Source organism: Homo sapiens, chromosome 3 (genome assembly GCF_000001405.40).
Source record: "Homo sapiens chromosome 3, GRCh38.p14 Primary Assembly".
Taxonomy (NCBI): Eukaryota; Metazoa; Chordata; class Mammalia; order Primates; family Hominidae; genus Homo; species Homo sapiens.
In genome coordinates, this window is record NC_000003.12 from 29,616,136 (window position 1) to 29,643,811 (window position 27,676).

General features: G+C 36.4%; 1 protein-coding gene and 1 long non-coding RNA gene across 14 annotated transcripts in view; one reads left to right on the forward strand and one right to left on the reverse strand.

Annotated features, from left to right (window-relative positions):
• Positions 1 to 26,681, reverse strand: RBMS3-AS2 (RBMS3 antisense RNA 2). Of its 2 annotated transcripts, NR_174948.1 has the most exons (3): positions 26,524 to 26,681; positions 24,959 to 25,012; positions 1 to 344 (listed from the first exon to the last, which is right to left on the reverse strand). It is a non-coding gene; the product is annotated as an RBMS3 antisense RNA 2 (long non-coding RNA). The 2 variants fall into 2 exon arrangements; NR_046557.1 differs by lacking the exon at positions 24,959 to 25,012 and having other exon boundaries at positions 26,598 to 26,681.
• RBMS3 (RNA binding motif single stranded interacting protein 3) overlaps positions 1 to 27,676 on the forward strand; it is a 729,325-nt gene that overhangs the window by 335,065 nt on the left and 366,584 nt on the right. The window lies entirely within an intron of this gene.

A 27,676-nucleotide genomic window follows, 5' to 3' on the forward strand; every position in this document is an offset into this window, starting at 1 on the left:
TTTTAAGGCTAACTTTATTGAAGTCTAATTTGTGTACAACAAAGGGCGTTTCTTAAAAATTTACAAATTGCCCGGGCGGGGTGGCTCACGCCTGTAATCCCAGCACTTTGGGAGGCTGAGGTGGGCAGATCACGAGGTCAGGACCTCGAGACCATCCTGGCTAACATGGCGAAACCCCGTCTCTACTAAAAATACAAAAACTTAGCTGGGCATGGTGGCGGGTGCCTGTAATCCCAGCTACTCGGGAGGCTGAGGCAGGAGAATCGCTTGAACCGGGGAGGCGGAGGTTGCAATGAGCTGAGATGGTGCCACTGCACTCCAGACTGGGCCACAAGAGCGAAACTCTGTCTCAAAAACAAACAAACAAACAAACAAAAATTACAAATCAATGCATTTGTGTACAACTGTGAGACCACCACCAGTCAATATAGTGGATATTTCTGTCACCCCCAAATGATTCCTTGTGCTTCTTTGTAGCCAATTCCTTCCTCCCTGATGTGCTGTAGCTACAGATTAGGCCTTGAACCTTGGAGCCCAATAACACCTCTTCGCATGTCCCTCAATAAATTTACCTGCTATTATTCCCTAGGGATTTTGTTTTTATTCAGTATATTCTTTACATTCCTGGGAAAATAAATAGAATATGTTTCATCAATAATCGTCCAGCTTTATTTAATAATTAGAATCAATTATGTAGAGGAATCAATGTTTATGATTTAAAATGTTCAATAGTAAAGCCAAAAAACCTGGTTCCTTATTCAAAATCCAAGCTGGTTGGGAGAAATATATACAGGTGGAAAAGTCCCAGGAAGATCAGTTTCTAAAAATATGAGTCATAGCTCCCTGCAGTATGGTGGGAGTAAAAGTCATTTTTATTTTCACTGCAGTGCATAAAGGGGACATCACTAAATGAATGAAAAGATGGATAGATGGATGAAAGGAGGAAGGGAGAGAAGACCACATCAAAGTCACTTAACTTGTGATAATTCAGAATATTCAGAGACTGGAAGAGAAAGAATGTCTTTGTAAGACTATACTGCCTGTTGGGCAGGAACACAGACTTAACGTTGACGAGCCTCAGGTTTTAATACCAGCTCCAAAACTAAGGTTGCTGAACTTCATTTTTGTGACTTGTAAAATGAGCAAGATGATATTGATATTGCAGACTTGACTTAATGGTTAAATTAAATCATTTGTGTTAAGAAGGTGGTACAAGAAGCCAGACAAAAAAGAACGTACACTATGATTTCATTTATACAGCTAAAAAACTGTCAAAACTAAGCTGGGGTGATGAAAGTTGGAATAGGTCCTACCTTTAAGTGGAGGATTGTTACTAGGAAGGAGCATGAGGAAGGCTTCTGGGTTGTTGATGTTTTACTGTTTTATCTGAGGAGTAGTTCACTCACTTAGTATTAGCTCCAATCTTGAAACTGGGATGCCTAATCTAGTCTTTGCTTTGCCATATAGGAACCTATATACACTTACAGAAATCCCATGATGTTCCAGGCACTGGCAAGGTCCTAGGGATGAAATTAAAGATAAGATTTGGGTTTTGTGTTGTTCATTTATAAGACTATAGTACCTTCATTTATGAAATGACAGGATCTGGTGAACTCTAAACTCTTCCAGCTCTAAAATTCTATGGAAAAAATCAATGAATATATTCATTTCTTCTTCCTACAAATATTTATTATGATTTAAAAACTGTGCTGTAGGTGTTGATGATGGAGTAAACAAGGCAGAGAATGTCCCTGCGCTTATCGGACTTATATCCAGGGAAGTGAAGTCATGGGAGCGTGTATGTATGTGTGTGTGTATATATATTCACTACTTAAATGATACATGCTACCTTTTTAGATAAAAGAAGTAGGGAGGCTACATCCATATGTTCATGTATGATGCTGTAAAACCACCTCAAAGATATCTCTTAGAAAATACACTGGTTGCTTGTTTGGGTAAAAGAGATAGAAGATGGGGCTATTCATAGACTACCTCAGAACATTTATCCCTATTTCAAGGATATAAATGTATTAGCTATTTAGGAAATTAAATAAAAATCTAAAAATAGCACAGAGTAGGCCGGGTGCAATGGCTCAAGCCTGTAATCCTAGCACTTTGGGAGGCGGAGGCAGGTGGAACCCCTGAGGTCAAGAGTTCAAGACCAGCCTGGCCACAATGGTGAAACCTCATCTCTACTACATCTCTACCAAAATTACAAAAATTAGCCTGGTGTGGTGGTGGGTACCTGTAATCCCAGCTACCCAGGAGGCTGAGGCAGAAGAATCGCTTGAACCCAGGAGGCAGAGGTTAGAGTGAGCCGAGATCGTACCATTGTACTACAGCCTTGGCAACAGAGCAAAAACTCTATCTCAAAAAAAGAAAGAAAAAAAAAATAGCACAGAGCAAAGCCCATTTCTCCTCCTTGTCATTTCTCAATCAGTGTGGTCCTTTGTGGGTGGGGATAGGTAATGGTATAATGATGAGCCTGCCTTGAAGTTCTTGTTCCAAAAAATCAACTTTTTGACAGAAAAAAAAAGGCTTTTTTCCCTTGTGATCCATAATATTAGTAAAAATACTTTGGCTTCCAGGGGCGTCTATGAGGAATGTCTGATAACTCAACAATTCTTTCTAAATGCCGTAATAATTTTGGAAAATACCTACCGTGCAGCCCATAGCAACTTTCTGGAATGCTGCTTTAATTTGCTTCTCTTTTTCCCTATTCCAACAAGAACAATGACAACAACAAAAATTAACTTAGAGAAGCATCTGCTGGAACAAGTGGTGATTATTTCCAAGCCCAAACAAAAGTAGGTAGGGAAAGAATTATTCAGAGAAAACATTTTTCAAGATCTTCTCCAGTGTGTGAGAGAGTATGTGAGAAGGAAAATGCACATGTGGATAAAATGTTTTCATTTGACGTCGAAAATGATAGGGAAGTGAGAGTCTGAAAACGGTTTCACAATGAGAACACATGGACACAGGGAGGGGAAAGGGAACAACACACGCCAGGGCCTGTTGTGGGGTGAGGGGAGAAGGGAGGGAACTTAGATGAAGGGTCAATAGGTGCAGCAAACCACCATGGCATAAGTATACCTATGTGACAAACCTGCATGTTCTGTACATGTATTTTATGTAAAAAAAAAAAAAAATGAATAAAGAAAACAGTTTTAGTTTAAAAAAAGAACAAAAATGCAAACAAAGAAAAACTCCTTTAAAATTTGTGATGTACTTATTAGAATTATGGATAGCTGTAAATTGCAAAAATCACAATGATAGGCATGATAGTGTAAGCTTCTTTATGGTGAGGACCCTGTTGTCAATTTCTTTTGTATCTCTCTTAGCATGGATATAGGCATGTAGTTGGGAGATCTTTTTAAGACACCAGATGGGCAATGTGGCAATAGAGAAAGCAGTACATGGAGAAGCAATATGCTCTCTGCTGAACTTGGAATAATCTCTTATCTCACCAAGCCTCAGTGTATCCATCTATACAATGGGTACAATGCTCTGATTAACCTCTGCCAGTTATAAAATATGACTCACTTGATTCAGTTGAACATTCCAAAATTTCTGTGCTGTGAGATTTGGGAACATGGATTTTTTTGCTGCTGGTCTATATTATTAATAAAGGAAAGTTTTAACTTTTATACCTCCTGTTAAAACCACTATTGGATAGGATCTAGTTTATACACCACTTACATTAAGTTGTCGAGTCTGGCACGTTCTAACAGTGAAGTTTTTTTTTTTACACGTGAGGCTGTTTGTTCTTGTCTTCCTGAGTATTTTCCTGTTGAATGTTTTATGCTCCCAAGGAACTCTGGTATGTTGAATTGTATTTATTGAAAGCTTGTAAACCCTTGATCTTAGAGAATAAAAATCGGGGAGCAGGAGAAAAAGCTTAAAAATGCTTTGAATCCTGAGAAAATATTTCTGTAAGTTAAAATAAGGGTGAATAATGGTGAGGATAGCTTACAGTTCCAGAAAACAAATGGAAAATTTTGGAGATATTAAAGGCAAGAATAAATTTAATAATTTTTTTCTTGGCTAGCATGAACTTTTATATTTTGGATTGGATCCTTTAATGCTTAGATTAACATGCCATCCTTATTTTTATTGACATATTTGTATGTGCCACTTACAATTCTAGGATGTTACAACAAATTTTTTTATACATTCCAGGTTGCATATTCTATGTAATTGGCTACTTTTCAATGACTTGTTTGCACAATTTTTGAGTCTTCACTTTAGCCCCTGATTTCTCTTTCATATATTGAAGTTTAAGCTTATATCTCACTTCTCATTGAAGTCGCCAGTAACTTTAAATCATGACTAAGAGAATCTTAGGGGCTACAATTACGATAAAACTCTTATGACATGGGTCACTGTTCTTTAATTGAGGTGGTCCACTTACTGTGTAAATGTTTTAAAAAATCAATTAGAATAATATTTATATTATCTTTATGTACTTGATTTTCATATTGGCATTTAAAAGTGTGTTTTAACTAAAATTTTATTTTGCACCAATTCCATAAGTTAACTTTGGCATCCTCTAAAGAAATTTCACTTACAGAGAAAAAAAAATGTGTCTAATTAACTTTTTCCTTAGAGTTGTTTGTTTATAAGTCATCCTAGAACTCATTCCCTGGCTATTTTGAAATTTTTTCAGCAATCTAAATTTACTAGTTTAGTCTTTTTAAAAACGTTATCTTTTTAGGGAATTGAATTTTACGGTTTTACTAATAACTGAAATACTGTGATTAACCAATTACTTTATTATTGTTTTTAATTGTGATAAAATATGCATACCAATTATTTTAATATCTGAACATATCTATTAAGACTAAGAAATAGAATATTTCTTGTTTTTAAATGAAGTGCTCTATTCCATGCCCTTAAGTCATACCTAGGAAACCCATAGCTCATAAAGGCTGCTGGAACATGCAGGCCCATGTCAGAATTAAACCAATAGAGGGTCTCTGAAACTTGAATTTTCATCTTGGTGAGTCTTCTGGGGTTATTTATTCATGTGTTCTTGCTCCAAATGTCTGCTTCTTTTTTTTTTTTGCTTTTATTGGGTGAAAGACAGCATAATAATTCTATGTATTTAAATGCAACTGATATAATACATAATGGGGCAGAACTTTAAACTCTTATGCCCTCTGAAAACATTGTAAAGGCTGGAATGAAAACGTAAATGCAGGCACTCATGTAGTTATAAAGGATGAACTTTCGAAAATTGAAACAGTCTTCTCTTCAGAAAGATGCTCAGTGATTTGTGTGCAAGATAGGGCTGGAACAAGGGACTCCTGACTATCAGGGACTCTGCAGATTATTTGTAGTTGTCTCTCTGTTGTTGATCAAATAATGAATGTAAAAGATGGTTGTTATATCTGTAGAGAGCCTCATTGTATTTTGTATTAAACCTTTCAATAAAAGTGAATAGTTTTACTTCCATTAGTTGGAAAGGACAACCTATAACTTATCAGAAGTCTCCTGACAGCATAATACCAAGTTCTAGAATGAAAATAAAATGCCTACAAATATTTGGTTTGGTTAAGATTAAAGATGCCTGGTTCAAGCATGCTACTTTGTTGTGGCAGTAAAATGTATGCACAATGCCATTTAAACAACAGAAAAAAAAGGATGAAAGAAAAAAAAAGTTTCTCAGGTAACAGAGGAAATCTGAAAAGATATCATATACCTGTAGAAAAAAGAAAAAAACCCACTTTATGGAATTAGCTCCAATCTTCAATTTGGGATGCCTAATCTAGTCTTCGCTTTTGCTGTAGGAGAATCTACATATACTTGTGGAAAACTTATACTTCAGGCACTGGCAAGGTCCTAGGGATGAAATAAAAAATAAGATTTCGCTTCTGTGTTCTTCATTTATAAGACCATAGTGCCTTCATTTATAAAATTAAAGGATCCGGTGAACTCTAAACTCTTCCAGCTCTAAAATTTCATGGAAAAAAAATCAATGAATATATTCATGTATTCCTCCTACAAATATTTATTATAATTTAGAAACTGTGCTGTAGGTATTGATTATAGAGTAAACAAGGCATAAAATGTTCCTGCCCTTATAGGGCTTACATCTGGGGAAGTGAAGACAGAGCCTGAAAAAATATCCAAATAAATATAATATAATTTTGCATTGTAAAAAATTTCGTGAAGAAAAAGAAGCACATAGGGTGATGTGATATTCCTGGAAGATCTATGTGTATTACCAGAATACAGATTGGAGGACAAGCTCTGTTCTGAGCTTGTGTTGTTGAGAGTGTGCATGGGCAATTAGTTTTTATAATATGAATCTAAATATAGTTTATAAAATAAATGCATGAAGACATTTTGAGAGACAGCCTTACATAATATACTCATGAGAATTATTCAGTAAAATAATCTTCTATCAGATGAAATGTACAATAAAATTGGCTTGTTGAACGTCATTGTCCTATATAGTGGTAGCATCTATGATGTAAAACATTGTCTAGGAGAGGACCTGAATCTTAGGTGAATAGTAAGTGCCATAAAAGTAATGCCAAACATGAAGACACAATGTGTAGTGATGGAGGGCACAGACTGTGGAGCCAGACTGCCCCAGTTCACATTCCAACTCTGCCACTGTGGAAGCTTAGGGGAGTAACTTTATTTCCTTGTGCCTCAGTGTGCTCATCTGTAAAATGGGATTAAAAAGTAGTCCCGGACAGGAGCGGTGGCTCACAGCTGTAATCCCAGTTTTGGGAGGCCAAGGCGGTTGGATCACGAGGTCAGGAGATGGAGACCATCGTGGCTAACACGGTGAAACCCCGTCTCTACTAAAAAATACAAAAAATTAGCCGGGTGTGGTGGCGGGCGCCTGTAGTCCCAGCTACTAGGGAGGCTGAGGAAGGAGAATGGCGTGAACTGGCAAGCTTGCAGTGAGCCGAGATCGTACCACTGCACTTCAGCCTGGGAGAAAGACTCCCTCTCAAAAAAAAAAAAAGGAGTCCCTATTTCATGAAGTTTCTGTGAGAATTAAAGGGGATTAAATTAACTTGGGGGGGGGGGTCTAAATTATTATTAATAGCGTATTTTAATCTATTTAATTTTAAGATGGCTATAATGTAATTAAAGCACTACTTTAAATATACGCCGAGTACTAGGCAATGAGTAAACATTATAAAAGTATAAAAGTCGGCCGGGCGCGGTGGCTCACGCCTGTAATCCCAGCACTTTGGGACGCCGAGGCAGGCGGTTCACAAGGTCAGCAGATCGAGACCATCCTGGCTAACACGGTGAAACCCCGTCTCTACTAAAAATACAAAAAATTAGCCAGGCGTGGTGGCGGGCGCCTGTAGTTCCAGCTACTCGGGAGGTTGAGGCAGGAGGATGGCGTGAACCAGGGAGATGGAGCTTTTGCAGTGAGCCGAGATCACACCACTGCACTCCAGCCTAGGCGACAGAGCAAGACTGTCTCAAAAAAAAAAAAAAAAAGGTATAAAAGTCATTTCTCTTCCTCACTACTTCCAACAATGACATTTTGAGTTACACAAACAATTCATTTTTAAAAGATTATAATTGAAAGTGTATGAATTGTGCTGAAGAAACTAAGTAAACTTCAGCTAGAGGAAAAAAATCCCAAATGCCCTTCATCATCTTACTGGACAATGGAATGCTCCCTTCATTATAGATATCAATAGACTAATAGATAATGGAAAGATAACAATGGACTATGAATGAAGTGTAACATTTTCTCAAACTTCCCAGTGGAAGCAAAAGAATTTTTAAATATATGTCTGGCAAATTAATTTTGTGGAGTATAGTTTACTAGAATTATGGGGAAAAAAAAGCAGACTGCCAGTATGGCTATTATTCTAGCTATGTGCTAAAATATATGCCTATAATAATGTTTTAATTTAACCCTAACATCCCAGGAGTTACACTGATATCGAACTTGAACTCTAAAAACTCATATTTGCGAAGACTTCCAACGTATACCTCAGGTTACCTGTAAATATGCTCTTAGGCATGTGTACATGAGTCCCAAGGAAACTTTTGCCAAAATGTGTAATTGTTTTATATGAGGGTTTTAAGAAAGCACTTTTAAATTATTTTAAAGTAGGATTACAAATTGAAGTTATTCATGATTTAATTCCCTTGGCTAGTAATATGGAAGTCTAGCTCCCCAAAACTTTGAAAAAACAAAACCCCCTGAAATTTATAAAGCAACAGTTTTTTTAAAGCTTTGTTGCTACAAAGTGAGACTGTGAGAATGAAAGTTAAAGGCCTTTGCTATTCCATCCATATTCAGTTTGGATATCCTCAAAGTAATTGAAAATTTACTTTTGAATATGCTGAAAATCGAGTCCATAAGTATCTAGTAGAATAGCTTTTGATTGGCCAGATTCTATCTCTGACTCTTACTATGCTTTAGAATTCTTTTATGAACTCTTTTTCTGATCACTGGGAAGAAGAAGGCAGTAAGAGAAAAGAGCAATATAAGAAATTGATAACTCCAAGGGCCATAGTTCGTTTATGTTTCTCATAGTTATATACGTCTTATGTTCATTTTAAAATTTTAAAACAATAAAAGGAGCACATATATGAGCATAAATAGGTATAAACATATTCTTTGTTTCCCAAAGAATTTTCAGTATATGATGATACCTTTTGAAGGAAAGGAATATAGAAGGTTCAGTGTATGACGATATCTTTTGAAGGAAAGGAATGTATCTCTTGGTCCCATCAAATTTTTTCTTGACTTACAAAATTGTTGATATAGTTTGTCTCTGTGTCCCCACCCAAATCTCATCTTGAATAGTAATCCCTATGTGTTGAGGGAGAGACCCAGTGGGAGGTGATTGGAACATGGGGGTGGGTTTTCCATGCTGTTCTCCTGACAGTGAGTGATTTCTCACAAAATCTGATGGTTGCAAAGTGTTTGGCTGTTCCCCACTCCCACCCTCTCTGTCTCCTGCCTCCACATAAGACATGCCTTGCTTCCTTTTTGCCTTCACCTCCCCAGCCCTGCAGAACTGTGGTTCATTTAAAACTCTTTCTTTATAAATTACCCAGTCTCAGGTAGTTCTCTATAGTAGTGTGAAAATGGACTAATACAATTGACTACAAATTTTTTAAAATTCTCCGTACTCAAGCAAGCTGTGGCATTACTTACCACAGTTATTTTTTTATATTTCTGTGGCATTTTTGTAACAGACCACATAGAACCAACTTAGAACAAGTGTAAGCAAAACCTTTGATCCTGTAGAAGACAATTTGATGCAAGAAGTCTTTTCTTGCCAGGCACAGTGGATCACGCCTGTAATCCCAGAACTTTGGGAGGCCGAGGCAGGTGGATCACCTGAGGTCAGGAGTTCGAGACCAGCCCGACCAAAGTGGTGAAACTCCATCTCTACTAAAAATACAAAACTAACTGGGCTGGGTGTGGTGGTGTGCACCTATAAACCTGGCTACTTGGGAGGCTGAGAGAGGAGAATCACTTGAACCTGGGAGGTGGGGGTTGCAGTGAGCTGAGATTGCGCCATTGCACTCCAGCCTGGGCAAAAAGAGTGAAACGCCATTAAAGTAAATAAATAAATAAATAAATAAATAAATAAATAAATAAAAATAATCTTTTCTTGGTGAAGCTTCTTTAGAGCCACCATCCATCAGCTTTGACAGCTTTTTGTGATCTATGGCCAGTAATCTCTGCTTAATCTATAAAGTGTATAAACTCTTCCAGAACAGCAAATGTGCTGCCCAGGGGTTAGGAAGGTCACCAAATTAGTTCATTGCTGAGATATAAGAAGACGGCCATCCTGGGGATATGCACCTCCTTTGAAGTTACTGGGAAAAGAACAGTTCCAGAATATGACTCAATTACTAATTTTAGTGGCAACCAACAAAAAGCCCTTTAAAAATATAACAGTGTGTATGTGATGGGTGCCTATGCTTAATTACATGAGCATTTGATTATAAAGAAGGAAGAATGGCTCTCAGGAAGCTGTTTTCCTGATCTGGAAACAATGCATCATGTAGTAAAATGTAAAACGGGCTTAGCAGCTCTGCACTAGCTGATAATTTGTTCTAGGACAAGTCACTTAAACTCTGCGTTTGGGAGTCATTAGTAAAATGGGGAGACCAATATTTGGCCTACCCCATTCTTAAAACTTAGTTTGTGATTCAAAGGAGAAAGAATGCAAAAAATGATAATAATAACAGGAGACTACAAAAAGTCAGGAACATCTGATTGAAAGTAAAAGCCTATGAATTTTGGCAAAACGTGATCAAGCTCTCCTAATTCTGGATATCAATATTAGCCATTCTAACCTGTGGAAGATACAATTTAAGGATAAATATTGCAGTGTGAGTGGCAAAGTGGCAATGAGTGGCCTATATCTAAATATTAGGAAATAATAATTTATCCAGAATGACCTGCAAGAAAAATTTTTGGTCAGCATATGAATAGTATTTTGCTACCATTTTTGTTTGGCAATCATTGAGCAATAAAATGGGAATATACAGATATTGTAGTGGAAACATCAATATGAGGAGTTAAAAACCACAAAGCACCTGCATATCGGCAGGATAGATATAAATGCCAATGTTTAATAAATATTACAAAGTGTAATATAGTAAATAGAACAAGGACATAGTGTTGAGATTCAGGGCCCTGAAACAAGAAGTCCTGATATCTCAGATTCATTACCAACTAAATCACTGATGATGTTACTTAATCTTTCTGTGCCTCAGTTTCTTTACATGTCCAAATGAGAACAGTAATAAAATTAAGTGAGTAAGTATATGCAAAGTGCCAAGGGCAGTTCAGAATGCAAGAAAAAGGTGGCTATCATATTATATAGAATAATAAAGCCTGGGTTGCTACCCTCGTTCTGTCACTTTTTTTCTCTGAGTCTTAGTTTCCTTATCTGAAAAATAGTAATAAGAATATCTACCTCTTTCATTACTGTGACGGATTTAATAAGATGAAGTGACTTCAGTTGCACTGTAGCTCTCAGGAACTATCCAAATGTTAGTTTAAAAAAATATTTATTGCAGCAATTGGCATTAAAGTGCTGACAAGGACATCTACCACCTCTCCCCATGGATGAACATCTCACCTAGTATAAAGTGAGTATCTCTGTCTCTCTCTCTCTCTCTTTCTCTCTCTCTTCTCTCTCTCTCTGTCTCTCTCTCTCTCTTCTGCCTCGCTAACTTTAAAGCAGAGTTTCCTAACCTCAGCACTATTGGCATTTGAGGCTGGATAAAGCCTGGTTGTAGGGGGCTGTCTTTTGCATTGTAGGATATTTAGCATAACAATCCTTGGCCTCTACCTAATAATTCCAGTGGTACAGCATTTTCCCCACCCCAGTCAGGATGTCCTAGGAGGCAAAATTGTCCCCAGTTGAGAACCACTACTCTAAAGCATTGTTTATATGTTAGCTTAGATACTACTTCCTCCAGGAAAGCATTCTGTGAATATCCCAGAAGGAATTTAATCTCTCCTATGTGCTCCTGAATGTACCCCCTTGAAATAAGTGTTTGCCTTTTAATAATGTTTACATACACATTTCCTCCTATAGACTGTGAGTTTATCTTGGTCAGGAATTGTGTCCTACTTACCATCTGTTTTCATGTGGTAAGCACTCTATGCATATTTGTGAAAAGAAGAGAGGGAGAGAAGGAGGAAGAGAGAGAGGAAGCAAGAAAGATAAGTGGTTAATCAGCTGATCTTGATACTGTCTAATGCTCCATTATGTATCTTTCAGGTCCCTCTGCTGTGTCAGATATGAGGGGGTAACTTGATTTCTAAGGAGCCAGTGTAGAGAAACCACCATGTACTCCCAAGCAGAGGCCCAGCTTCTGCAAAAGACCTGGTCCATTATTGTTTATATGGAAATCAATCCTATATTGAACAGACATATTAAATTACCGGATTAAAAACCCAATACCATCATCAGTCAGATATAAAACAGAAACTGATACTAGCCCTTGTTTTAGAAGAATGTGGAGGGAGTGATACATCTGTTATGAGAGGGAACTCTTGCACAGGTCAACTGTAGTTGGCTAATTAATGCTCAATATAAACATGAAACAGAGGGATGCTTCAGCTATACCATGAGTTCATGATTTTGTGTAAACAACAATTTAAAAAATGGGCTGAAGTCCACATTGACTGTCAATGAAATTGAAACATTTCCCTGCTAGATAAAGGGAGGGATAGAGGCTTTCCTCTTATAAAACTGGCTGTGTCAGTGATTCTCTCCTCAGATTACCTTTTCCACCTACCTCTCAGAATGGACTTCAGTGGGAGTAAACTTCAGAGGGGCCTTGTGGTTTTTATAGGGGGCTGGTACTTGCCGTATCCAACTCTTATGACTACAGAAAGTTTGAATGAGTACACCAACGTCTCACCTGAAACCCTCACATTTGAAGTGTTTAAAGGATGTGATTATTGTACTTCTTATATGCATCATTATATATGTAACTTTTACATGTACCATTATATATGTACATTATTCATGTTCATCAGTATACGTTTCATATGTTCATCATTATTTCATATAACACAAGAAAAGAAAAAACATTGTTTTTACGCTGACAGCACACTGTTTCATAACTTAAGATATTTTCATATAGTTCCTTTAGATTTATTTAGGTATAGATTTTTAAAAATCTTTTTTGTGTGCTCATAAAAAGGAAAGCATAAGCAAATTAAGGTAAATCATTCTAAACTGTTTTTCACAATTAGAATCTAATTCTAAGTGATTTTTTGACTGAGAATTGTCATTGTCCATGTGTTTTCCCTCACACAGTGTGCTCAGCTGTGTCATCAAGACCATCGTTGACACAGCATTGCTTGGAAGGATGCTCTACCGATGTCTCTGGGGTTTTCTTCCAAACCACCCATTCTTGATGTTTTGAAGTGCATATGCAGGCCATCATGATGACATAATGATTGTATCTGGTTGGTAGCTGTTTTAAGAAGAATCCTAATTTCAGAGACCATTAAAATGTGAAAAAATGTGCATTTTAGAATTGATGAAATAAGTAATTTACATCCTAATGATGGGACTATCTACTTTCTACTTTAAAGACTTGAAAGGATTCAAAGTGAAAAGTGCTGAGAATCCAGAGCCAGATGGAGCTAAAATCACATTTCTCTGCTATCTGCAGGCTATTTTAATGAGGGCAAATTATTTAACTCTTCTGTGTCTCAGTTTCTTCATTTGTGAAAGCTGCCTCAAAGGAACATTGGTGATGATAAATAAAAATAAACCTCTTTGCCCTGAGTAGTTATACAAAAATATATTCTCTTTTTAAAACAAGAGCTCAGTTCAAACTGGCATTTTCTCTGTATTTGAACATTTTATATGTAATGTTCTAAGTGGAGACTGCTAAAATTGGTAAAAATGTTATGTCTTAACAATGAATTGGTTACATTTCAAGATAATGAGCAGATTCAGATAGCATGGTTTTTAAATACAGTTTATCTAACAGGGAACTCATCCATAGTTGTCTTGTGAACTATTTTTTCTTTCTCCTATCAAGAATTTGAATTTTCTCTAAGGCCAAATGGTGAATCAGCAGCTGGTCAATAATTGATTTTATTTTATGTCCTATACCCTTTTTCAGTCCAATTTTTAAGTCAATGTTAACTCAGAAACTAATTCACAGCTTAAAATACAGTTGACCTGACAAGGCTGCTATCTATTCTAGACTAACGTGAATTTCTCAGTGTAAGCACTAATATCTTCCAGTACAAATCTTGAAAATTAAAACCAAAGGATTAGCGTTATCATTACTGATGTTAATTCTGTATTAAATTCATAGTAGGTCACAGGAAATCATCCCTTTCTCATGTTATGAAACAGAAAAAGATAGGATGTCAGAAACTAAAAACCAATATATGTTTGTTTGTTTTTTTCCTAGAAGGTGGCTGAAACTTAGTAGCCACACTCTACCTTTGCAGTTTTTATTTTTCTCTTTGAATTCTGTTGCTTCTTCCATCTTGCCAGCCCTTGAAGAATCTGGAAAAAGCATCTCATTTTCCATGGAACAAGAAATAGGTTAATAGTCCCTTTCACAAAATGTAGAGTAGGACTTTCATTGAATGCCAACTCAGTTTTGTTTTTTAATTCTGTCGTACAGCATAGAAAAGCTGGTGAATGATGTCATAGTCACTAACAGCAACTGTTCAAGTTAGGAGAATTTTAGAGAAATGGATATTGTCATTATTCATTCACAAGTGTTTTATTGTGTTATAGATTTCTATTATTCCAAATAATGAGCCATCTGAGAGGAAGAATTGGGGACCAACTCATTGTCAATTTCCCCCAGTGCCTACTACAGTGCCTGCTATACATAGGAAACTCAGTCAATTCTTGTTGATTGCCACAAAAATTAGTAAGAATTGGAAGGAAAAAGGAAGAGAGAGAAAACAAGCTCACTAGAGAAGATTCTTGAATCCTTTCTGAATCATATCAACACAGTATAGCAACTGGCTTAATCATAGATGTCATCACTGGCATTTATGGTTAGAAATATAATGTTTAAGCCCCATCCCAGGCCTTTGAATCCAAATCCTCAAGAGTAAGTCTTGGAAATCTATATTTATAATTATCACTCTTGGTGATTCTTATGTTCAAGCAAATTTTTAAAACACTGGAATACTATGATGCTTTTTAGAAAATGTTTAAGTTGGTCAAACAAGTAATGATTCATTTTAGACCAAGTTAGCATTTGAACATTTCAGACCAATGGGAATATTAGAATTTGGTGCTGGGTAGCCAATGACTGGGAAGGGAGTTTTCTTGTTTTAGGATTGGTTTCAAAACCATAACTTCACTCTTATTTCAGAGCTTTCTATTGCCCATTATTGGGCAGTAGAAAAATATTGTTTTTATTCTAAACTCAGGACCTAATATCCTCTAATGCTTAGCAAAATTTGAGTATTTTAAGAGGTATTTAGTTGGTATTAAGAGAAGTGACTCAGAAAGTCAGAAACTTTTTCTCTTTCTCCTAATTGCATTATAACTATCACTGTAAAGACAATAAATAATACAAAACTTCTTAAATAATGTGAATATATGAGCACATAAAAATAAGAACATTCCTTGAGGCTCTACTTTTTTACAGCTTTCTATTACACTATGATAAATAGATGAATAATAACCTTGCCAAGTTATATTTGTTCTTTTATTTGTCTCTAGACATGTACAATTTTGGTGCCATCATTTCATCTCTGACTGCTTTTCTGTTATCTTGAGGGTCTCAGTCAGATAAAGCATTATAAATAATAAATATTCTTGAGTCATCTGATAGCTCAATCCCAGAGGAAATAAGGCGTTCAAATTTCCATAGAAGATTTTTATTAACCTTCATATAAATATAAGTATAATTATTTTTCAATAGTTTTAGAATATTATTACTATCCTTTAGTAAGACATGTTGACACACCACAGGTCAAACACCAGAATCCCACTAGAACAAAATTTGACCCTAACCAAAATAATCACACATGTCCCCGTATTGCTGATGCTTATTGATTCATTTGTAATGAGATTTTCTACAATGAATAGCCTAGTTTAAGCATGTTTTTTTCTAGTCTTTGTAAATCACTATTTGTCTATCTGGAAACCTATTTTGTTCTGTTTGCAGAGTACCTTTCACTTGCTAATGATCTGTGCAAATTAAACAGAAAAGGGGAGGAGAGGCATGGTTAACTTTTCAAAACTTCTTTCCTCTGGGTGGATGGTAAGCAAGAAGCAATTATCCTCTGACTCTCCTCACTCCCAAAAAACTTCACAACCAAAAAGAGGAACAAGCGACACATACATGTGCATTTGCATGCCAACCAGAAGAGCAAACCAGTGTGCAGAAAGTGTGTTTACAACACTTCCTTGCAAATGAATGACCGTTAGATTAGATACTTTCCTTATTCTGTATAAACTGGTGCCTGTTGTATTTCTCTGTAGAGCTGCTTCAGTTCAGAGCCTGGGCATGTGCTTTGATGTGAGTTTTACCAATAGAATTCCATTTGAGTAGAGAAAAATACTATATTAACTAACTTTTGTGCAGATGCAGGCACAGATGATTCAAAGTGTTAGCAACTTTCTAAAAACCATCAATCATTTAAATACCCAGTATGAGAAATAAAAATTTTGATTTTTATGTAGTTATCTTTGTTCTGCATTAAATCTCTTTTGTCATTTTTCAACTTTAACAGTCCTAGGGGGAGAAGAGAGTAGGAGAACTGGGAAAGGACTTAGTGTGTGCAACTGAATCTGATTATAATTGTTTAAGATTTATTGGTTGATAATGACAAGTTGTTTTTGTACATTGAAATTCTAGAAAGTTTTAAATTCTATCTTTCATTTAAAAACTGAGAGCTACTAAATATTTGGGCATTTGAGTATCTTGGCACTTGGGAATCTTATTCCTGTCTTGATTTGTGTGGGTCGCGTTTTTGATGATAATTACAAAGAGGATTTTGTGGTGGCTTTGAAAATCCTCAGTCTTGTAAATAGCATTTTGTGATCCAAAAGCCAAGGGAAATGACTAAATGGATCTTTGTGACATTTTAAGAACACCAAAAGGTAACTTCTTTGAACGAGATTTATGAATGTAGAAAACTTAATAAGCAAAGAATGGATCTTTGTGTTTTTTCTTCCCAACATTAAATCTAAGAGGTTTTCTGTGGACAGTGCAAGAACAAGGCCCTGCAGATCCTTCCTCTGCTTATTTCCCCACACCTGATACAGTTTCTACTGGCACTTTTTAATTATTCTAAGTAACTGGCACAATGAAATGTTTTCGTTTTTATTCTAATAAGGTTTAGTATGTGCTAAAAGCAATTTTATAAAGATCTCTAAGCAAATATTGTACTGTACTTGTATACATTACACTTGAGAATGTTCCAGGCAAGTAAGTTCTAGGTTTTTGCTGTGCTTATCCTACTGAAGTATGATCCCTGCCTCTGCTGCTTTTTTCAAATACATAACCATAACTGCCTTTATCTCCATATATCAATATGCAGAAACAATAGAATGCTTGTATGGCTATCTGTGCATATCCCAAGAGAATTATTTGTACTGGGGGAAATGCAGTTGAAAAAAAGCAGGAAAATTAATAGATAGGCATAGAGCCTTATATCTTCATATATCCTCTAATAATGGTAGAATTTGGTTTTGTTTTATGATTCATCCAATAAAACTATATAATTTACTATGCATTTTAAAATTAAGAAACTTATGCAGAAAGAGCACCATGAGATATAAGAGGGGCTGTGGCATATCAGATTATTTTTATATAGTATAATATTACTGTTTCATTGTCTTGTATTTTGGAATCCAGAGTTAATGTTAGTGCTAAATGCAAGTTTACTGCTATCTTGGGGACCTGGATCTCACCTACCTATTTATCCCCAATGTACATCATCACAGAACTTTTTAGGGCTTCCAGCTTGTTTTTTCTTGGGAAACTACTGATGTGGCTAATGGGCACAAACCTGTTTCTACCCTAAAAATGCCTTGAGCCATAAACTCCAGCCCATAGTACAAGTAGAGGAAGACATCTTTGCCTACTCAAATTCCCAGAAACAGAGAGAGGAATCCACAGATGAATGCCCTGCCATGTTGTTGTAATCAGATCAAAGATCCAGCTTTTACTTTTGGCCAATTTCCTTAACAGATCAAGATTGGATACCAAGGTTTCTGACTTCCATTCCACATTTTATCTGCTGAATATTAATAATTATGAGTATATAAAGACTTCATTTAAATAACCCCACTCAATAATCTCATCTTTTTTTCTAAAAGAGCATTTAGCAAAATAGAGTCAACTAACCTGCCAATATCTTATAAAGAAATTTTATAAAGATTGGTTTAATACCTGCAGTACTAATTTTTGCTTCTGACAAAGGAAGATGTTTATATCATCAGAATAACTAAAAATAAATAATCTGATAGGTATTTTGTTGATCACCAACAGTGTTTTATCATAGTACTATGCATTGTGGGTATCCAAAAGAGGGAGAAAGATACATTCATTCCTTGATGCTGCTCTTCTTTGAGGTGGATTTTTACTACCTAGCATTTGTGAAGTACAGCATGTTGTCTCAACATTAAAATTGCTTTCATATGCAGAAACATACTATGTGCAATTGTCTGTGTTAATATGGACACATTTCTCATTTAGAAGAGAGATCATGAACTATCTTTATACACCAAGTTTACCTTCCCCAACAATTTAGTAACTTTACAGACACATGGATATTCCAGTCATATTCCCTTGTCTTTTACCTCTGTACATGGAAAATAGCTGGTTGCGAACATGGGAGCCTCTACCTGCAAGCCTTGTTTTTCTGGAAACAGCAGCCCCTCATCACTAACAAATGGCAAGTAGGTAAATAAATGCCCCTATTTTGGAATGATTTTAAGGCAGGTGTTCTATACTGTGTCTCAGAGGTCTCTAGTTTCCCACAGTGGTAACTTACTTGATAATACGCTCTTTATTGACTTTCTTCCTTTACTGAATTATTCCCCCTTTCCCATCTAGGTGTTTCCTAGAATCACTTCCCAAATAAACCACTTGTAGTTAAATCCTTATCTCAGGGTCTGTTTCTGGGGGAACCATAACCAGGACAATAACGTTTTCTAATACTTCCTATTCCTTTAGGTTAGAAAAACAGGTTCTTCCAAAGCACCACCCTTTCCTTCTCCATGTTTAGCATTTTACTCCTCACTGACACTGGCCTATCGAGCCCCATCTTTCTGAAGTACACTAGTTTGAGGCTTCTTTCTCCCAGGCCTGGAGTTCCACAGAAGTGCTCTAACTAGAAGCATTCTGCAGAAGTACTCTAAATAGAAGCATTTCTACTTCTCACTTGTATAATTTTCAGGCAATCTTACAAATCACTACCAGACAAGTTTTACTAATCTTCTATTGTATCCATGGTTTTAGCATTTATAAAACTTCAGAGGTTTCTGCATTCACTACCTTAGTAATGCCATTCAGTTTTATGGCTTTATATATTATATATATGCCACAGACTCCCAATACTTATATTTCCATATCAAATCTTTCTCTCATTCCAGTCTTTTAGATACCACTACCTACTTGACATCTGCACTTAGATGTCTGTTAGACATTTCACATTCAAAACATCAAACCTAAACCCCTAATCTCCTCAGACAAACCTGCTCTTTCTGCAGCCTTCCCCATCTCAGTTGATGGCAGTACCATCCTTCTAGTGGCTTTGGAGAGATCCTTGATTTATTCATTTGGCTCTTAAATATACCCTGACCGAATCCATTAGGAAATCCTTGTGTTCATACCTTCAAAATATATTCAGAAGCTGACCATTTCTCCTCCTCTCCACCAGTGAAACTCTGGCACAAGCCAGCATCAGCTTTCACCAGGAATGCTACATCTCCTGGTTGTTCTCCTTGCTTCAGTTTCTGCTGCCTTCTATCCTCAACACTAAAGGCAGAGACATCCTTTTAAACTGTTGGGTCACAGATCATGGCCTTCTACTGCAAAAAGCCAGCATGCGATAGATGCATGTCTCACTCGGGTAAAAGCCACAGGAACTGGGGTTACATATTGATCAAGATACACGTTTCCTATTCTCTTGAAACGTTAGGGTTTCTAGTAGCTTTTGAAGTATAATAGTTTTAAGGTATAATCCTAATTAACTGTACTTCTCAGCTCTCCTCCTCCGTCCCTTTCCACTAGAATCCATGTCCCAAATCTCCTACCTATGGGTCCAGGTGGAAGAATGGAAAAGAATCAAGCAAGGAAGAAACAGTGCCCACAGAAAGCAAAACTAAGAAATCCTGTTACAATACCATAAGGCCACTGTAGCTGCAAGGGATCCTGGGAAATGCAAATATTTAGAAGGGTCTGATGCTGTCATCAAGAATGTGTGTGTGTGTGTGTGTGTGTGTGTGTGTGTGTTTTCAGTTAGGGAGAAAGAATGTACACTGTGTAGATAAATAGTTTCTACCACAGATGGTGAAAAAATACCCATGGTTTACACTAAGTCTAGGTCTTGTCCAGTTCTGAGCATTTTAATCAGAAAAGCATTACTATACTCACTTGTGTTTATATTAAAATAAGGGCTATTTATTGCCACCAGCTCAGGAAATGACCCAGTGTGGCCGTGTAAGACAGAATTAATTTGAAGTGACTCCAGCTAAAAGTTGGCTGCCTTTTAACTTAATAACTTGAGAACTGTCAGTATCCTTTGAAGTTAATGATAGTTGTAAAGTGCAAATAAAAATTTTTCTAAAGGAAATCAAACACACTACAGCCAATAAATGGCTGTCACTAGAATGCTCTGTCACTGAAACTATTCAGGTATGTGCGAGGGGAGGGTGGAAGGCTGGTAATCTGTTTAGAATTTCATTGTTATTTTGTCTTGTTTTGTTTTGGCTTTTGGATTATAGAATGCCCAACAAGTTTTCCCCTTGGAAATGAAATTTAAGCCATTTAATGGGTTTCTAGTTGTTGGGTAGCATGTTAGAAGCAAAGTTATTTTGTATGAGCATTTGTGTTGGAAATACTTGCAATACTAGTGTCACCTCAGGCATAAATGTATTTGCGCAGCACGACTTCACATGGTAAATGAAAGCATTATTACTTGCTTGTCTTTCTGTCATGGGAGGCGGTTTTCCAAATAGGTATATGGTGCACCATGTTAATTAAGTTTTATTTTCGTTAATGAGTAAAGTAACTGGCTGAACAAAGAGTAAAAGATTTATCAGTATGGAAAGAGCAGGCAACTGTTTGTCTAAGTTATGCAAAGTAGCAAATGGGTCATCTCAACTAAGCATCAGGCAACATATCATGTATGTGTGAAATGTAACTGTTTCTAATTTCAGACCCAGGTTATTAGCAGCATGGAAGCTCCTAATGAGGCTGGAGAAAGTTTCTCACATAGGAGCATCCTGCCTTTTATTTACAATGATGCCACTCAAAATTTGTTTCAGCAGGAAGCAACACTTTCCATTTTTTTCTTGTTGCTCATTTGTGAGTTTATTTCTACTTAATTTGCTGATCCAAAGCGATGCCAGATTGACATCCCTGGGGACTGCTGTTTCCTGTTGGTGCCTGTGCAAATGAAGGCAGCAAGCAGAAGTTCTATGTTTTCTGGATTTCTTGGTGGTTTTAGGTTGCCATAGGCAGAAACTAAAAACCATATAGAAACCTTAGTTGATATGCTCTACCCACCACCACCTCCGAAAGATGCAGCAGCCAAGTTAATTTGGTTAAGGTTGGTTAAAGGGAAATGAAAGGATCCTTCCTCTTTACGTCTTTCTTAAATACAACATTTTCAGAACCCCAAACTTTGCTATAACTTGATGCTTCTAAAATAGTCTGATTACAAGACATATGAGCTTATTAAAATGTGGATTTTAAGTTTCTTATCTTGGAGATTGAGGCCTAGGTGATACCCAAGTTTCTATACTTTTAATAAGCATCTTAAGTTTCTGTTATCATCAGGCAAGTTTAAGAAGCACCTCTCTTGCATGTACAGGCAGCTTAATGGACTTTATATTAAAACACTAAGTTTAGTAATGTATTAACTTTGTAAGTCCCTCATTTCCTCATTATGGAGTATTTATTACCAGGATACATGTATAAAGCATTTAGTGCCCATAACAACATGGGCACTGGAGGAAACCATTTCTCTCTTTATCAAATAGGACTAATAGCATTAAAAGCAATAAACTTGCCTGACAACACTCAAATTATCCAAGCATTGAAAGACCCCTAAGAAGCCACTGGTAGTAGTTAGATGCCACCTTCTTTCCTCTTTGCCAATGCAAAACAAAACCAAAACCAAAATCTATTCATCTCCTTTGAACATCCATCCATTTGGAAGAATCATGGTTTGTAAAAGGATACTATTTGTCTTAAACAGCTATGTTTATTTCAATAGGATACCACATAGGTCAAGGTATGTTTGAGTGTGTTAAGCAATTTGGAAATATGTTCTTGGAAAGCACAGGAAGACACGTCCCCCTATCCCCACCAAATAAGAAGACATCAGAGCCCAAAACACAATTTTAATATATCAGAGAAGGATATGCTAATGAGTTTTCTTGTAGTAATTTTTTTTTTTTACATATTGTATCTATCTTGAAAAACATGCTAGGACAGGTTCACAAGGAATATCATCCTCTGGAATAAGAACATGTATTGAATTTCAATCCATGTCAAGGATAGATTATGAGCCTATCTTACAGTATATGATGGCTATATAGTTAAAATTATTAATCCACCAAGGCTGTAACTCACAACTCTTAATATTCTGATATTATTCTGAGAATTTCATTTAATCTCCCTGGATCATGTGGCTTATAAGATTTTCTCTCACAGCTGAAAAATTACTTGATAGTTTATTCATCACCATCTTCTGTTACTTGGCAGAGCTCAGAAACTTTTGATGAGTGTATCATGGTCACTATTTGCAGTACAATTCGCAATTCTTGCCGTCCTGGAACTACTAAAAGATAGCCTCAATCCTGAAATGCTCAGTTGCATTTTAGGTGAATGTTTTGTAAAGCATTTGAAATCTGCAAAGATCTGCAAGGAAGATACAGGCCAACACATCCCGTAATTTCTCCTACTCTAAAATTTCATCGTAGACATTACTTCACTTGAAATATTATAGGAAAGGTTGAAAAACTGTTATTCTTTAGGCATTACTGTATTAGGTATATTTTTGTTGTTGATCAGACATTGCTTCGAGCTGGAAAATTTTCTTAATGTATATCGCTGTAAATTAAGACTACATTTTTTATTTGAAATATTAGAAAATATTTTGATTCCTGTATCTGCTATAAGTGTGAATCATAATAATCCTTTCTTTAAGAGTTAAAAGTTTCTTTTATCGTATTGTATTTTGAAATCTTACAAATTTCAAATTATTTACTCTGGTTTACTTACAAAGGCACAAAAATGACATTGTAAGGAATAGTTCAATTTGAGGGAAGAGGCCTGGGTGAGGCTTTAGGCACGTTTACATGGTCTACCTTGGCTGAATTTCCAAGCGATTTAACTTAATCTCTTTCTGAAAGTTTCCAGAAATTAATAGTATTTATCTACTTTTACAAAAAGTTAGAAATGACTTTCATGTCTAAGGGAAAGGAGATGATCATATACAGGAAGGATAATTTGGAAACACTTTTTGCAAACTATGGATTTTTAGGTCCTATCCCAGACCTACCAAATCAAAATATCCAAGGGGAAATTTTTGAAAATTGTATTTTTTTTATAAACACGCCTAGTGATACTTTTATCATTCTGCAAACTTTGGAAACATCACACTAATACATCTGTAAGGTTGAATTTACTTGGCCATTACATTCTGCTTCCATAGTGTTTGTACTAAGATGAGAAAATGTTCACTGTAAAATACTGTATGGCAAAAACCAGAATATACACTATAGATGATAGATAGAAGATAGACAGAGAGAGAGAGAGAGAGAGAGAGAGAGAGAATGATCAGAATGCAGCACAGAATAAATAAAAAGTGTCACTGTAAAAGCTGGCCTTGGAAGTCCTCTTTTTGTTTAGAAAAACACTTGCATATAAATAGAGAAGCCCAGTATCTGCCTGAGAGAAGGATGAGTGTGAGACAAAGCATAACCGAAGAGCAACAGCAATTTTTACTTCCCTGGTTTTTCTTGGAAGAAGGCCAGATATTTTTTAAAGGGAAAAGAAGAGACACTGAACAAGAGATTAAAGTTCCAGGAGAAAATTGAATAACTGTTCAATGAGGTATTCAGATGACGGGGAGATATAAAAAAAAGAAGGATATCTGCTATTGAAACATAAACTTTTTGCTATAATGTGTTGTCCTGAACTCTGATATAATCCCCTCCTATGCCCTGACCATCAGGAAGCATGCTCTGGAAGGGCTTAAGAGAAAAGCCACTGCTATGTCACTATATTCTACCTACAGGTTGATACAAGGCTGAGAGAAAGGAATGCTAGCAAATCAGAATGGCATATGAGCAGATACAGATGTGTAACTATGCCAAGTATTTCCCCAGATGTACTAGGATGACTCCAGAAATCTAAAATATCTGGATAATCTCATGCAGTAAACATTTTATTGACATTTTGGTTACACACACACACACACACACACACACACACCCACACACACACGAAAGACGGAAAGAAAACAGCAAAAGGTAGAAAGTTTATCTCTGGATGTTAAAATTGAGCATATATTACCTGCATAACAATGAGGAAAATGATTAAGCTTCGGGGATCATTCTTAGACATTTTAAACAAACACAATTCTAAATTTAACAGAAGATAAGCGAAGTTTGATAATTTAAAATTCTATAGGACCAAGAGCTTGCTTCACTAGTTAATATTTAGAAACATCAATTGGTCAGTCTGTTGTAAATAAAATCCCTGGGTTCTTGAAGGATGATGTGTTACACAAAATAATTTACACTGAACTATTTGATCGTGCATAGATTCCACTGGTTCAAAGTGGAGGAAAACATTTTAATGATTTTACATTCATCTGTACAATTCTTTCTGCTATCAATCATATAGTGGTCCTTGGCATTTTTTCCTTGTTTTAAAGTAGCTTTTTACCCTATATAAAGAATAATACATATGAAACAGTATTGTATTTAACCCTAAAATATTCCATTTCTGCTGTCAGATAAACTGAGTTTGAAGGCTATCTCTACCCCTTACTCCTGTGTGACCCTGGGTAAGTTATTTACTGTCTCTACAGCTGTGTTTACCCATCTTTAAAAATGGGGATAATGATTCTTCCTACTTCATAGGGCTTTTGTGAGAATTACATGATAATACATGTAACAAACTTAGCATAGTCCTTGGCCAATTGCACAAAATAAATTAGCTATGAAATGTATTTGTTCATAATAGAAACTTCAAGAAAAATAACTAGGAAAGACATAAAAATCCTCTATAGTCTCACCTCCGAAGCAAGCGATAACTGTCATTTTGGTATCTTTTATTCTTCCTTCTTTATCTAAAGACAAATTACAAAAATGAATCTATTCATACATATTGTATTTTAATCTGATAAGTTGTGTATAAACTAAATCATTTTCCCTGTTACTAAATATTGTTCAAAAAAATTATTTTCAGTGGCCACATGCTTTCCCATTTGTAAAGCAGTATCATACTGTATTTTAAAAATATATTGCTGAGCATAATGGTTGTTTCCAAACCACCAGTATTTCAAAGAGGCTGCATTGACCATCCTTATAAGTAAATATCTCTACATATTCATAATAATTGGTTTAGAATCGATTTCTAAAGTTAGAATTGCTGAATCAAATGGTATATCTTAAATGTATATTTCATACACGTTTTAATGTACTGCTAAATTGCCTTCCAGAATGTTTGTGCCAATTATTACTTTTAGTAGTATATCAAATACTTTTTAAACAATAGATACATTCACTTTAAAAAGAAATGGCAATGACTTTTAATTTTTTAGCTTATTTTATTGAGTTTGAAAAAGATTTGGCCACTTGTTTTTTTCTCTCTTGTATACTGTATGAACATTTGAATTTAAAAAATGTATACTGCACTGCTTCTTTAATTGTCATATTCACTGAGGTAACATTTGTTGAGCATCTACTCAAGACAGGCACACTGCACAGGGTGAGAGATGTAAAGACCAGGACACTTATGCTAAAGTCAGTGGTGTCCATGAAGAGCAGAGGCACAGTGAAATTTGCCTGGTCCTTCTAGGGGCTTTGGAGATGCATATTAAACATCTGAAGCCAAGGGATTCTTCTTAGAGCTGTCCTCCCAAGAAAGAGGGAACCAAACAATGAGGAGATTTGGCAAGTCCTACCCAAAGAGAACTGACATTTCTTAGGCATTTTATGAAGAGATACATAGAACTCCAGTTCCACTTGTTAAAAGCAATAACTGCTTTCACTTACTGAACATGCACGCTGTGGCAGGCTCACTGCTGATATTTTACAACTTTCTGCGATCAGAAAGGTTATAACCCGTAGATCTGCCAATGAGTGGATTCTGACCCTGGGTGAAGTGAATGAACTAGCCCAAGAGTTTGCAATTCTAAGTGGAAATGCTGGGATTCACCATCTGATCTGATGCTTTGCTCTGTCTTCTCTTATTTACACCCAGGTTTCTCAGCTTTCCACCTTTGTTATATTTGCATTTTGCCATACCTGCCTGTTAACCTTTTCTTAAAACAAATTGATCATCTATGTTTATTTTTGAACACTTTGTTGTTAGTTTCCTTAAAAAGGAAACTTTGTATCTCTATTATAAATAGAAAATCAGTTATATTTGCCATATAAAAATAAAATAAGTAAAAATGTATGGTTTCATGTGTACCACCAAAAAGCATTTCATCTTTCTATCCCCTTTCCCATCTCTTGCCAGAGGCCAGGCTATAACACCTGAGGAAACACTGCCCCAGTCACTGCAAACATTTAGTCACTAGGGACAGCAGAACAAGACTGTGGGAACTTGGTAAGAACCTGGGACCCTTTGTACCTTTCTTCTGTTGGTTTCTTTATTCTCATTCTCTTCTGGATGGTCTCCAGAATAACTGGGGAGACAACACTTACAGGAAAAGCGCATGTGTTCTTGTCTCAGAGTGGAAGAAAGAAGAGCCGCCGTGTTCCAGCTAGTGCTCAGAGAAGGTGCTCTACATATCTTGTTGACCTTGATTTGAGCTATAAAAGGCTGCTGACTCAGAGCATTAAAACAGAACCACTGGCTTATTCTCTGAGTAATTCAAGTCTGCCTTTCCCTCAGTCGATCCCAGAGGTGGCTAGTCAAGCCTGGCGATGTTCATTTACCATCAGAGATTAAGCCTGTCTGGCCAGGCTTTGTCTGGTAGCATTTTCTTAATCAAATATAATGACAATTTGAATAAACTCAAGTCCATTGAACATTGTTCATGTTTTATTATTAAGAAAAAATAGGCACTTTGATTCTTGGAACACTTTTTAAAAGGCTCCTCGCTGTGTCAGTCTCTGTTTGTTATTTTGGGGCATGACAGTTATCTAAAGAGAACCAGCCAGATTTAATCTGACAGCCACAGTCAGGGAAGAGCGCTACCAATCTAATTATCCAGTAATCTAGTCAGAATGGGAGTAATTCTAGGCCTTTCTCAGGCAGCTAATCACATTTCCTGTGCATTAGCAGCCACACATGGGGAGCTTTTAGGAACAAGGTTTTTGGCCTGCACGGGCTTCATGAGCCTCATAGTGGTATAATTTCTTTGTTGACTTCTTCCCCCAGAGTGGTTTCTTCAGGATTTTTCATTTTGTTCTCATTCCTACTTTTCCCCTGCATTGCCGAGGGTGTCTTAGCTTAGCTTCAAGTTCTAAGTTTGACGAGCTTCTGACTTTCCTTTCAGAATGCAGCAGAGGAGGAAGGGTACATTCACGGATCCATATGCTTATTTCTTGTGCAGGGACAAATTAAGGAGCGTAACACAGTCTGCAGGGAAAAAAGGGAGAAAAACGTGAAAGTTGTTTTCTTCAAGGAAAGCGCCGTTGTTTGTGGGCCATTTTTCATGTCATTTCTCTATCAATGTGGGTGATTTGAGGGAGGTTTCTAGAGAAAAGGCCGGAGAAAAGAGACAGTTAATGGATATTTAGTTCTGTCGTTGTCTCTGAATGTCAAGCTGTAGGTAATA